The following is a 14671-nucleotide window of genomic DNA, read 5'->3' on the forward strand; positions in this document are numbered from 1 at the left end:
AAAACATTCTCAAGGAAACTCCCAGGAATTTCAGGATACCAATATTCCCACACTTGGAGCAGCCACCTTTAAATCTTTATTTTAATGAACGCATTGTAGCAGCAGCTACGATGTTACACATAGCCCTGAAACTGGAAATCAAACACAAGTTCTAAGTTGCAGAATGTAATGGATAATCTTACGTGTCAACTTGACTGGGGTATGGGGTGTCAAGCTGTAGCAGTGGCTACGATGTTACCTAAAACTGGAAATCAAACACCAGTTCTAAGTTGCAGAATGTAATCAATAATCTTATGTGTTAACTTGACTGGGGTATGGGGTGCCCAGGCATGTGGCTACACATTTAGCTTGGCTATAAGGGTGTTTCTGCATGAGATGAACACGTGGATCCTGAGACAGAGCCAGCGGAGTGCCCTACCCATGCTGGCTCGGCCTCATGCCACCAACTAGAGACTTGAATAGAACAAAAGGACGGCCCTCCCAGGAGCTAGCGGGAACTCCTCCGGCCTGAGCGCCATAAGCTGGGATGCAGGTTATGTTCTACCTGCTGATTCAAACTGACCCACTGGCTTTTTCTGGGTTTCAAGAATGCTGGCATTGGAACGGGAATTTACACCCTCAGACGTCCTGGTTCTCAGCCCTTCGGACTCAGATGAAAACTACAGCGTCAGTTTTCCTGGGTCTCCAGCTTGTGGATTGCACATCTTGAGATCTGTCTGTTTCCATAATCCTGTGAGCCAATTCCTTATAATTAATCTCTCTGTCTCTCTATCTGTATCTCTATCTCATCTATTTGTAAATCCATATATCTCCTAATGTGCATATATATATATGCACCTGTATTTTACACACACACATAATATATAATAAATAAATATGTGTATGTGTATGTATGTATATATATATTATATATATAATATATATATATATATATATGCATATGTTCTGTTTCTCTGGAGAACCCTGAATAATATACAGAGAGTCTGCACAATTCACTGTACAATGAGAGTTCACCACCCTACTTCTAGAATTATTTTTTAAGTTCCGTTTTCCCTAAAATTATGGTTAGTAAAAAAATTCATCATTTTTAAATTTGTGAGTGAGGAAACAATTAAAAAATTGCACAATGCCAATACATAAGTTTAATTTAAACTCTCTTCAATTCATTTCAGTAAAGTCACATTTTCTATCATCAAAGACCTATCTGAATGATTGAACAGGGTAGAGGTTCTATTTGAACTTTGGATACTTTGGAAAGAGAACAATAATGCAGAACTTTACTTTTTTAAAGTCATTAAAATTATCTGGTCATGTCAGTGGTTTTTTTTCTCTCTCTCTTTTTTTCCTTTCTTTACTTCTTTTCTTTTCTTTTTTCTGTTTTTTTTTTTTTTGGATAAGGTCTCATTCTGTCACCTAGGCTAGAATGCAGTGGTGCAGTCATGGCTCACTGCAGCCTCAACCTCCTGGGCTCAAGCGATCCTCCTGACTCAGCGTCTTTAGTAGCTTAGACTACAGGTGCAGGTGTACAACACCATACCCATTTATTTATTTATTATTTATTTTTAGAGATGGGCTGGGTTCAAGTGATCCTCCTGACTCAGCCTCTTTCGTAGCTTGGACTACAGCTGTGCACCACCATACACATTTATTTATTTATTATTTATTTTTAGAGATAGGGCCTTGATTTGTTGCTCAGGCTGTTCTCAACCCCCTGGGCCCATGCTGCCTTTCCACCTCAGCCTCCCAAACTTCTGGGATTACATGTGTGAGCCACTGCACCTGGCCTTGCTCTTTATTTATTCATGCTGTCATTTGTAGTTAAATGTAGTAATCACTAATCACATCTGTCTTATATCTTCCATAAAAATTTTAAAAAAATTAAGTCTAGATGTTTTCCTCTTATCGAAAACATATTAATTAGCCATAAAGTTATTCAATTATGTTACATAATTTATCTCAGTAAATGTATGCAAAACTTATGCAATTATATGAGAATACCTTTTACATTTCAGATGTCCACTCAAATAAAATTCTGTAAGCAAGATTTTGAAAAGCATATTACCTTTTGTTTTCAGTTTCTCTTTATTCTTTTTGTAAATTTTCTTGACTAGAGAAAGCGTATTTTTGCTATTTGCAACGTCACAATAGTTTTAAACAATTAAGTAATTTTTGAATCCGCTATTCAATAAAAAGCCAAAAACATATGGTAATATATTTGAATTCTTCAATTTAAAGTGTAGGTTTTTTAACTATGTGATTTTTCTTCTCTAGAACAAGGAATGCTTGCCTGATACGCTAACAACATATTCTAACAAGTTAAATCCTACTTTAGAACAACCATACATGCTAAGCAAAACATTTATATGTTGGTTTTCTATGATAGTAGCTTTATGAATGAGTAATAACTAAATTAGGAAAAAAATTAAAGACTTGAAATCTGAAAGCAACAGGTTAAAACAAACCAATTTCAGTTCAAAAGCCCAAGGATTTATATGTTTCGGTTTGCAACAGACACAGTTCAGAACATTTCTCAACCTCATGCCAACGGAACAGACAACTAAGACAACTCAATGTATCATGCATGAAAGCAATGCAATTAAACAATATCATGTATCTCAAGCAGATATTATGGTCACTAATCTTTAAAGTGTACTGATTTTATTTTCCCCTCATGACCTGTAGTAGATAATTGAAAATTAAAAATTGAAATCAGTGAACACATTCAAGTGATTCCGCTTGCTATCAAAATTTGCCCACACCGAGCGACTAGGCTGACTACAGAGATGTTTTTCATTCTCTTTGTCCTTTACAAACAAAGCCTTACAATTATGTAGGACCAAAGGTAAATCAAGATTATAAGTACAAGAATGACCTTTAGATGCATTAACCAACATTTTAATCGTGAAGGGCAAGAGATGACTCTTAAAGTTTTTACTTTGTCTCTTATTAGTCTATGCAGCCTTAGGGATATAATTACCTTTCATGGGCATCAATGTCTTCATCCGCTGCATGGGAGTCATAATATCTTTTTGTCATAACTCACGAGTTCCTATGAATAACAAATTGGATCAAATTTGAAAATGTTTTCTAAAAACGTACATTCTCTGTAAATAATATTTATTATTATTTTTACTATTTCTTTTTTCTTTCTTTTTTTTTAAGAGATGGGGTCTCTCTCTGTCACCCAGGCTGGAGTGCAGTGGCACGATCACAGTTCACTGCAGCCTCTACCTCCTGGGTTCAAGTGATCCTCTTGCCTCAGCTTCCCGAGTAGCTGGGACTATGGGCGCTAATGACTACACCCAGCTTATTTTTGTGTTTTTTGTAGAGATAGGGTTTCACCATGTTGCCCAAGCTTGTCTCAAACTCCTGGGCTCAAACCACCTTCCTGCCTTGGTTTTCCAAAGTGCTGGGATTACAGGCGTGAGTCGCCATACCTGACCAATAATTTATGATTATTATAGATTATTTTTTAGAATTGAAAATTGACAGATTTCATTGATATTAATGGGATTACAGGCATGAGCCACTGTACCTGACCAATAATTTATTATTATCATAGATTATTTTTTAGAATTGAAAATTGAGAGGCTTTATTGATATTAATGGGATTATAGCCATGAGCCACTGTACCTGACCAATAATTTATTATTACCATAGATTTTTTTTAGAATTGAAAATTGAGAGGTTTCATTGATATTAATGGGATTACAGGCATGAGTCACCATACTTGACCAATAATTTATTATTATCATAGATTATTTTTTAGAATTGAAAATTGAGAGGCTTCATTGATATTAATGGGATTACAGGCATGAGCCACTGTACCTGACCAATAATTTATTATTATCATAGATTATGTTTTACAATTGAAAATTGAGAGGTTTCATTGATATTAATAAAACGTAGAAAAACATATTTATAGAAAATATCAAAATGAAGTCACCATAAATCCAGGCGGTAGTCCTTTGTAAATAAACAAGTGCTGCAGGAGACAAAAGTTGAGACGTGAAAAGACAACATAAATCTCATTTGGAAGAAAGGTAAAATCTTTGATTGGAAACAAAAAAATATAAAGGCCAAAGACTGCTTTGTCGAAGCTCAATATTTGAAAAGAATGAAAAGCTGTGAAAAACACTCTGAATTACACATGGCTACTTTACAGAAATGACATTCTTGTTTACTCATTAGCATCATTCATAAGACAAGAGGCAATGGCTTCCTCTTTTCCTCTTTGCTGACAAGGTAGTTCGATTATAAACTGGGCTACTACTGGCAGCAATAAATTGAGGAAAATATACAACATGACTTCTTTTTAAATTTACAATAGCCACAATAAGTTCATAAATTTGGGAGATAATCATATAGACTCCCAGGTCCCTGGTGTTTTAATTTTGTCTCATTTTAATCTTGTCCCCTCTCAACTTTCAAAACTCAATGATATAATTTATGAGTTTGTTGAAGTGGTAAGAAAAAAGTTGACTAAGTTTTACATTCCATCTTCCAACTATGTGAAAAAATAAGGCCCAGCATCCTTTGAGATCTTGACTGTTTAATGAAAACTAAGTTTGTTTTTACAAGACAGGAAACATTTCACTTTGAAAATGAGAATTCATGATTTAGACAGATTGAAATGAGGGAATCATGTCATGAATATTTATTGTAGCATTAATGTTTGCAAAAGCTATTCATAAAGCAGAAAATGGTTATCATTCAAAATTCAAGTGATGGGTTAGGGTGTAAAATATAAAGTAAAATATACAACTTCAAATTCATAGAATTTCTCTGAGTCATAGAAGCTGAATGTGTGTATATAACTGAATTTGCCAAGCTTATTCCTTAGAAGTATGTAAAGTGTACCTACAGCCAACTAAACCCACACAAAGCCTTCTTTCTGTTTAACCTAAACTCAAGTTAAATACAGTGTACTGTATCATTTATTAATTAGGGGTATTTTACCATTATTACATTATCACAGTATTTATAATGTTTTTTCAAAATGTTTTATAAAAACAAGCAAAAAAAAATCCCACACATGTATTTTAAGTTTAATCTGTTTCTACATCAGCTGGTCTCACATTGAGTAGAAAGATTTTAATTTGAGTAGAAGGGAGTGAACAATTTAATTACATATATTCTCCCTGCTGGAGTAGGTGAGAAAACATATGTCAGAATGATTTGATTCTACGGAGAAAGTTGCAATAATTCTTTATGCATTTTAAGTTTTACCTAACTAGACAAAAGAGTCATAGGATCTGTTGGGTAAAAATCTAGTAGTTTTTTAGTACTGTGGTTTAATTTCTAGTACCTGTAGTTTAATTTCCTTTAGTTTAGACTGGGACATCCTATTCAGTCTATTCTTGCATGTAAATTTCAATCGAGGAGGAAAATAAAAGCAGATAATGATTAACGAAGAGGGCTTGGTATTGAGTTTTAGCACCATAGTAAGTAATCCTGAGAAAATATTCTCAAGTTAACTCTCAAGTTGATTCAAGTTAATTCTCAAGTTGATGGATCATGTAAGGTGGAGTACACAACAAACACCAAAACAACAAATCGCCTGCACGTGTGTGTGTGTGTGTGTTCCCATAAAAATAGATTGCTAGATTAATCTGTTTCTTGGCATTTTTCATTCTTTCCATAATCTTTAATAAAATATTCCTACAAAACGTATACACGCCATGTTCCTTAGCTTGATCGAAGTACCAGAAAGTAAACATTCACATAACCACCCCAAAGAACAAGGCATTTGTATCAAACCACCCCGGCTCTCGCTGCTCTATTCCCTCTACATGCACGCCCTTCTTCCTTTCTCAGGATCTTCGCTCTCCAAGATCATAGACCGGTTTTCTAAGATCATAGATTGTTTTTGCCTGCTTTTGTATTTCACAGGATGTCATCACAGAGTAAGCAGGCACTCTTTTTCCTCAGGATTCTTTCACTGGGCATTGGGTTGATGAGGTCACCCTGTGCTATGAGGAGCAGTGCTTCAACCTGTTGACTGCTGAATAGCCTGCCATCATCATGAATGGGTCAGGATTGGCATATCCATTCCGCCACTGAGGAACAGTTTGGTGGTTTTCAGATTTTGTCTGTTATGAGTAATGCTGCTATGAACCTTTTATTACATACATTTTGGTGGGTGGGTGTGCACATTTCTGTTGCATACACTTAGGAGCCCTCCTGTTGAATAACAGGACACAGTTAACAATAAGCTTTAGTGAAAATCGACAAAGTTAATGTCCAACGTATTCCAATCTCTCCATTTTCCCAAGAACAGCATATGAGAGTTCCAGTTACCTCACATTCTCAGTAATGCTTGATAATTCCAGCTTTCAAATTTCAGCTGTTCTGTGAAAGTGTGTGTGTGTGTGTGTGTGTGTGTGTGTGAAAGAGAGACCGTCTTTGTGTGTGTATGTAGTGTGATATCTATTGTGTTAATTTAAAAGTCCTTGATAGCTATTTGGGGATTACAGGTGTGCACTACCACACCCAACTAATATTTGTATTTTTAATATCTTTTCATGACAATTGGTCATTTGTAGATCCTATACATTTGTAAAGTGCCTGTTTGCCTGTTCAACAATTTTGCTCATCTTATTTATTTATTATTTATTTTTGAGAAAGAGTCTTGCTTTGTTTCCCAGGCTGGAGTGCAGTAGCGCAATCTCAGCTCACTGCAACCTCTGCCTCCCAGGTTCAAGCGATTCTCCCACCTTAGCCTCCCAAGTAGCTGGGATTACAGGCACCTGCCACCACGCCCAGCTAATTTTTGTTGTCTGAGTAGAGATGGAGTTTCACAATGTTGGCCAGGCTGGTCTCGAACTCCTGATCTCAGACAATCTGTCCGCCTCAGCCTCCTAAAGTGCTGGGATTACAGGAGTGAGCCAATGCACCCGGCCCGTCCATCATTTAATCATCAATTTTATCATTGACTCAGGAGTCTAGGAGATCTTCATAAATTCTGGAGATAGCTATGACCTCCCTGTGTCTTCTTATTTTATTTTATTTTATTTTTTGAGATAGAATCTTGCTCTGTCACCCAGGCTGGAATGCGGTGGTGGGATCTCAGCTCACTGCAACCTCAGCCTCCCAGGTTCAAGTGATTCTCCTGCCTTAGCCTCCTAAGTAGCTGGGATTACAGGTGTGTGTTACACACCCATCTAATATTTGTATTTTTAATAGAGATGGGGTTTTACTATGTTGGCCAGGCTGGTCTCGAACTCCTGACCTCAGGTGATCCACATGCCCATGCCTAAGCCTCCCAAAGTGCTGGGATTACAGGCATGAGCCACCACACCTGGCCTGTGTCTTTTTTTTTTTTTTCAATTTTCCTTAGCACGTATTTTGATCAATGAAATTAATATTAGTTAAATCCAATTTATCAATAATTTCCTTTGTGGCTAATGCTTTTCAATCCTGTTGTAAAATATCTCCCTATTTCAAGTCATAAAGATATTTCACTGTGAAAAAATCTAGAGCTTTACTGCTTTACCTTCAGAGGTAGATCTACAAACTGTTTTAATGTTACTATTTGTACACACATACCACATACACACACATAACACATGCCCGTCTACACGCCAAACACATACATACCACACACACGTTAAAACACGTACACACACCACACATACATGCACACCACACACATACACACAAAATGCACACATGTACACCAAACACACCACACACACTGCACACCACACGCAAACCAATCACACATACCACATACATTACACATAAGTACAAAACCACATACACACCACACACACCACATATGTACCACCCGCACATACACATCATAAACACATCCACACATCCACACACACTCATACATATTCTACCTAGATAGTAAGATCTATGTGAATAGTGTAGTTTTATTTAAAGGAACAGAATACTATGAATAATTTAGAAACAAAATTCTATTAAACACTGGATTTAATCATGTTTACCTTTTTTTGAGATTTGCAATTAAGCATTATGTCAGTTGACTGCATGAGCTGTTATGTTGAACATTATCTGAGCTCAGAGCTCTTTTATGAGCTGGCTATGCAACATCAAATTTGTAAATGTTTAATCAAAAATGCTAAAAATTTAAATTCACAGATATAGAAAGTATCATTATACATAGATGGAAGCGTAGAAGCAGATGTGTTGTACTTTCTAATATGTAACGTAGCTGTGAACTCCAGCTGAGCAGTAATTGACGCACCTCCATCTTCTATAATCAGCGACATGGCAATGAGTAAAACTTAATAATTGGGGTGATAACAAAATCCTGAGAGCAGTATTCATTTTGCTCGACCTCCAGATTTTTAATTTTCAAGAGCTTTCAAAAATTACTTTGTCAGCTTTCTTGGTAAATCCATCATGTCCATGGGGATGGGCCTTCTGGTTCTGGAACTCACATACTCCTGAGCAATTCCTTCCATTCTCACTGATTTAAAATAAACCACAGAATGAATAGCCATTTTCTTTGAATTATTTTCCGCAGAGTTTCAGAAGAGAATAAGGAGCCCGATCCATCACCTCTTTGATGAGTGGGGTGGTGGTTGCACCAGGTGAGGGGGGATCAAGAGGCAAGTGTCTCAGCCTCAACCCCCGCCCCACACTGCCCTAGGAAGAATGATTTCCTGCGTGCCACCTCAGAGCACCTGGCCATGGTCCTTCTTTCATTGCTGTTTTTCCTTCACAACAACAGCAACAACTGGGTTGTTCTTCCCAGTGTAAGCAAATACATGCAGTTCACCCTTGCACGTCGGCTCCAGTATTGTATAGTACACTCCAAGAGTACAAGCGTAAAGACACTACATCTGAAAAAATAACCTTAATGGTGACTGGCAGAGAGTTGTCTGACCAAATCATCTGACCATAGTCAGGTAAAATGTCACATTCTTAATCATTGCTCTGGTCCCAATACGTGATAACTACACATATTGATAAATACACCATCTGATTTGACAATTTGGGGATACACAAAAGACTGATAAACCTGTGAGTATTTAAATTGATTAGAAGAGAAGCAGTGTATTATTTTGTGTGTCTCCTTTCATTGGCACCCTGCATTCGTAGTCAGATTGAGAAGGAAAAAATCACATTACATTTAAACAGAATAAGGCTACTTAAAAATACATATATAATATATATTTAAAAATATATGTATTTCAATATGTATATTTTAATATATCATATATTATATAAAATATATTTTAAAATTTGAATTTAATATGATATATATTTTTAAATATGTATCATATATATTTATGATGTTTTATATATATATTTTTAATATATCAAATTTCACAGGTTTAAAAAATTTGATATATATTGTTTTTATAAACCAACTTTTTCACTTATTTTAGCCAGTCACAATGATATATAAACAATTTCATATGTTTATGAAATGTGATATATTTTTAAAATGATACGTAGTTTGGTCTTTATAAACCAATTATTTTCACTTATATTAGCCAGCCATAATGATATATATATCATAAATATATATATACGTATATTTATGTGAGACTAAATATATGAGATACGTATTTTCAGACGGTGGTCAATAGACAACTCTGGCTGTGATCCCCAGGAAAGCTCTGCATTCACTCTGGCATTCTGCCAGAAAGCACAGCACAGACGGTGAAACAGAGACAGAGAGGAAGATGTATTAAATAACTCTGAGCAAAGCAAATATACCAAGTTTAGGAGACAGTTTGAAGGTCAAGAACTCTAAGGTAGCTAGAGATCGCAAGGCAGAGTTCTGGGGCAAAAGGAATTTTGCGGATAAAAAAGCTCCAGAAATCTGCAAAGGTGTCTCACTGGATGTTTATTGCATATAAAGACAGACACTTGTATAGTGAAACTCCGTGGCGGCAAAGACCAGTTGGGTAGGTGTGACATGAATGGTTTCCAGAAATCACCCATGCCTGAAATTATTTGAGTTTCCCCCAGCCTGAATGGAGCCCTGCGTTGATCCTTTGTGTAGCCAAAGAAGCTCTAGAAGGGCTACACTTCTTTAATTCAGAACCAAGCTAACAACATCTAAAATGTTAACACGTCCAGAAAGAAACATAACTCCCCATCAGGTCAAAGTCCAACAGTCTTCACTAGAGGACGTGAAAATTCAGACACTCAAAAGCATATCATCAGCAATTAGTTTAAGGAAAACAAACAAAAGAAATGGAAAATATTTTAAAATCCAATCTACGGAGATAAAAATGATAGTACCTGAAACTGAAAGCCACGGAGTAAGATTAACAGCAGATTAGAAACTACACAGGGAAAGATCTGGTAGTTAGTGCAATTCAAAGAATCAGTCCATTTCATCTAAATTATCAATTATGTGGTCATGAGTTGTTTGTAATATTTTTTAAATGATCTGTTTTGTGTCAGTATGATTAGTATTGATGATCCCACCTCCAGGTGGCAGACTCCCCAGGGAAATGCAGCTAATTTATTTATTCTTTTTATAATTTTTTACCCTGGTTAGTTTTTATCAACTTCATTAATATTTTCAAACAACCAACGTTTTGTTTATTGATTTTCTCTAGTATTTTTCTGTATTCATTTTCATTGATTTTGGTATTATTTTTTCTTATTTCTTTTCTTCTGCTTGATTTAATATTAAATTTATTTTTACCCAATTCTTTAAAGTGAAAGCTTAGATTATTAATAATAGATTTTTCTTTTTTCATCTCTCCAATGCTATAAATCGTCCTCTAAAAGCACTGCTTTTTCTGCATCCCACAGATGTCGAGGTTTTATTTTTTGTTTTCATTTAGTTCAAAATATCTTTAAATTTATTTGGAGATTTCCATTTTTTACCCATATGCTATTTAGAAGTAAGTTTCTAAATTCCCAAATATTTGGGAATTTTTTAGCTACCTTCCTGTTACTGATTTCTAATTTAACTCCATTGTCCTCTGAGAACATTACTCTGTACAATTGCCATTATTGTTAATTTGTTCATGTGTGTTTTGTGGGTCAGAATGTGGTCTTTCTTGGTGAATGTTCCATGGGAGCTTGAAACCCATGTGTATCCTGCTGTTGTAGATGGAGTATTTTATAAATGTCAAGCTATCAGGTCAATTGTTCATGCTGTTTACTCCAACTGCGTCCTTATTGATTTTCTGTCTGCTTCATCTTAAAGAGGCATGTTAAATTCTCCAACTCTTAGTATTGTATTATCTAGTCTTCATTTCAGTTCTCTTAGATTCTGCCTTCCATTAATAAAAAAATTATCAGTATTACTTCAAATATTTATTTGGCCCTATTTTCTCTTTTCCTTCTTCTAGTGTTCCAATTACGTATACGTTACACATTCTGAAATTGTCCCAGAGTTCTGGTATATTCTGTTCTGATTCCCCACACCTTCCCCATTCTTTCTTCACTCATCATTTCACTTTGAGAACTTGCCCTTTACCCATCTTCAAACTCAGTAATTCTTTCTTCAGATGTGTGAAGTCTAGTGATAAGCGTGTCCAAGGTACTCTTTATTTCTGTTTTATATGTTCTAGCATTTTCTGCCTTTCTTAGAAGTTCGTTATCTCTGCTGTGAATCCCAAATACCTGAGACAGTCTCAGTCAATTTGGAACGTTTATTTTTGCCAAAGTTAAGGACACACATCCGTGACACAGCCTCAGGAGGTCCTGACGACATGTGCCCCAGGTGGTCAGGGAACAGCTTGCTTTCATACATTTCAAGGAGACATGAGGCACCAATCAATGTATGTAAGCCATACATTGGCTCCATCCAGCAAGGCCGGGCAACTCGAGGTGGGGACGGGGTTTCCAGGTCATAGGTAGATAAGACAAAAACGGTTGCATTCTTTTGAGTTTCTGGTTAAGCTTTCCAAAGGAAGCAATCAGATATGCATTTATCTCAGTGAGCAGAGGGATGACTTGGATCTGTCTGTCCTTTGTCCACAAGGGATTTCCTTGTGGACAAATTGTGAGGGAAGTATGTAGCTTTTGTTAAAAACAAAAACAAAAACAAAAACAAAAACAAAAACACCTTAGTAGCTATCGTTTTTAGGAGTAGAATGGGAGGCAGGTTTGCCCTAAGCAGTTCCCAGCTTGACTTTCCTTTTGGCTTTGTGATTTTGGGACCCCAAGATTCATTTTCCTTTTACACTGCTTACATTATCCATCTGTGTTTGCACGTTGTTTACTTATTTCATGAGAACGTTTACATATTTACCAGTTGTTTTAATTCCCTTCTGATAATTCCAACATCTGTGTCATACCTGACTTTGTTTCTGAGGTTTCGTTTCTTCAGACTGTTTTTATTTTTTCTTGTCCTTTGCTTTGGCCCAATTTTTACTGGAAGAACTCACGGATCAGGTAATAGGAACTGAGGAGAATCGGCTTCTACTATCAAGAGGTATGTTAATCTGAGTAGTTGCCAGGCTTTGCTCTGTGTTTGCTGAAGAAACTGCAAGCTCCTCTAGTGGCCTTGTTTGTGTCTCTGCTCTTGAGCTGGCCCTCTCTGAGTGTCTGACCTGCAGCTCTTTTCACTGAAACGCGCTATATATTTTGATTGCAAGGGAGCTCTGTTTATGTGATGGTGAGGAGAGGAGGAGGGGTCACGCTATGATACCCCAGTTTAATCTATTTATCTCAGAGGGCCTGTGATGACCTTAGCCTGAGGGTCCTGTGTGGCTTTCTTCCACTTTCCCTGCCCCTTGTGTGAGACAGAAAGGCTGGGGACATGGTCTGGAGAAGATGCCATTCCACGTGGCTCTGGACAAGGCTCTGGGCCAGTCTTCTCCTGGAAAGTAGGCCTTCCTAATGGAGGGGGCCCGGAGCTCATTTCTCTCTCTGGCCCTTGCCAGAGGCAGCAGAGAATCGTTCTCAGATCTTCACCATGAAAATGTACTGTGGTGTTTCTCTGGTAAAGCCCAGAAACGTGTGCAAGCCCCATAACGGCCACTTTCAAGAGTTTGTCACTCATCCACATCTATACCCAGTCTTCCTGGTTCATCAGAGTTGCCATTCAAGTGACCCAACCAGTTAACGGTCCCATGGAAGCAGATCTGGGCTGTGACTCTGGATTCTCCTCTGTCTCCAGATTCTATGATGGCTGTGCACTTTGTGCTCTAAGTTCCCTGATGGATGAAAGAAAAGACAGTGGTTTCAATGTGTCCAGCTGTTTCTTGTTGCCAGGAAATAAGCACCAGCCTCCAAGCATTTTACATATTTCAGCTGAGCCCGGAAGTCCTTCACTGATCAAAGTGTCCACAAAATTAGGATCTCCTAATTTGATCAAAAAGTGTTTTCTGCAAAATATTTTCTGGAAATTTGTTCTGTATTAGTATGTTCTCACACTGCTAATAAAGACATACCCGAGACTGGGTAATTATAAAGCAAAGAGTTTTAATGGACTCACAGTTCCACGTGGTTGGGGAGGCCTCACAATCATGGCAGAAGGAAGATGAGGAGCAAAGTCACATCTTACATGACAGCAGGTAAAGAGAGTCTGTGCAGTGGAACTCCCACTTATAAAATCATCAGATCTCATGAGACTTACTATCACGTGAACAGTATGGGGGGAAACCACCCCCACGATTCAATTATCTCCACCTGGTCCCACCCTTGACATGTGGGGATTATTACAATTATTACAATTCAAGGTGAGATTTGGGTGGGGACACAGCCAAACCATATCACTATATAGTATAAAATCAATAGTACATGTGTTTGTTTTTTTAAGTCCTATTCAGTTATTTTTTCTCTAATTTTAGGATCTTCTTGTCTTGTTATTTTGCAATTTAACTATGATATATCATCTCAATGTGAATATCCAAAAACAATAAAATAATGCTAAGAATTAGCAAAATAATGGTTACTTTTTTTTTTCGTTGTTAAATGGACATTTTGATGGTTTCTGAATTAAACTTTCCAAGAGTTAGGAATCGTGATATTTTAAGGGTTGTCACTCCATTTTATCTCCAGGTTTCTGGGTCTCATGCTTTTCACTGCAGCAGGTGAGTTTGCCTTAGGGAGTTGTCCCTGCCCTTTGGTAGGCAATCTTGTTACAGTCACTATTCCAGATGCCCTTCCTCCTTTGAAAAGTGGTTGGCACCTAATTTTAGTTCAGCCAATCAGTCCTTCTTTTCCTGACATTTAACTTGAAAATAAAGTGTCATCATGGACTAAAACTGGTTGTCAGTAACTTATCCGCTATCCTAATGGACAAACACACTCAGTAGGTCTTCTCATCTGGATTCCTTGAGTACTTTTGCTCTTCACCTGGCCAGGGCTTTTATCCTTGGCGGTTTTGTTGTTGTTATTGTCTGTTTATCACAGCTCCTTCCAATAAGTATTGTTATCTGCTGGTTATCCACTAACTGATTCTGGTGTTTAATATTTGTGATATAAAGCCTTATATATATTGCTGCTTAATACCATGGTATTGGTACATGACTGTTGACTGATGTTTGCATCGCAAAATTCTCGTCACGGCGTTCATGCATTTTCCACCTTCAACACAGATGGAATAGCTACAAGTGTCAGGCACTCTTCAGTTATCTTACACAGAGAATAAAAATTACCCCTCTCAAATTCTGGAGGAGTTATGAAGCGTTTCACACTGATTTTGCTCCCAAATTATCCAAGTGAAACTGGAAAACTACTAACTACACAAATATTCAACTCACTCAATTTGTTC

General features: G+C 37.0%; 1 long non-coding RNA gene across 2 annotated transcripts in view; it reads right to left on the bottom strand.

Annotated features, from left to right (window-relative positions):
• The window catches only part of LINC03021 (long intergenic non-protein coding RNA 3021), a 198360-nt gene that overhangs the window by 172146 nt on the left and 11543 nt on the right, over nt 1-14671 (bottom strand). Inside the window, exon 2 of one of the 2 annotated variants that reach the window (NR_125426.1) lies at nt 2978-3049. The exons of the other annotated variant lie outside the window; for it this stretch is intronic. This is a non-coding gene — a long non-coding RNA (long intergenic non-protein coding RNA 3021). The remainder of the gene's footprint in view (nt 1-2977; nt 3050-14671) is intronic. 2 annotated transcript variants of the gene reach the window in all.

This window comes from Homo sapiens, chromosome 8 (genome assembly GCF_000001405.40).
Source record: "Homo sapiens chromosome 8, GRCh38.p14 Primary Assembly".
In the NCBI taxonomy this organism is placed as follows: Eukaryota; Metazoa; Chordata; class Mammalia; order Primates; family Hominidae; genus Homo; species Homo sapiens.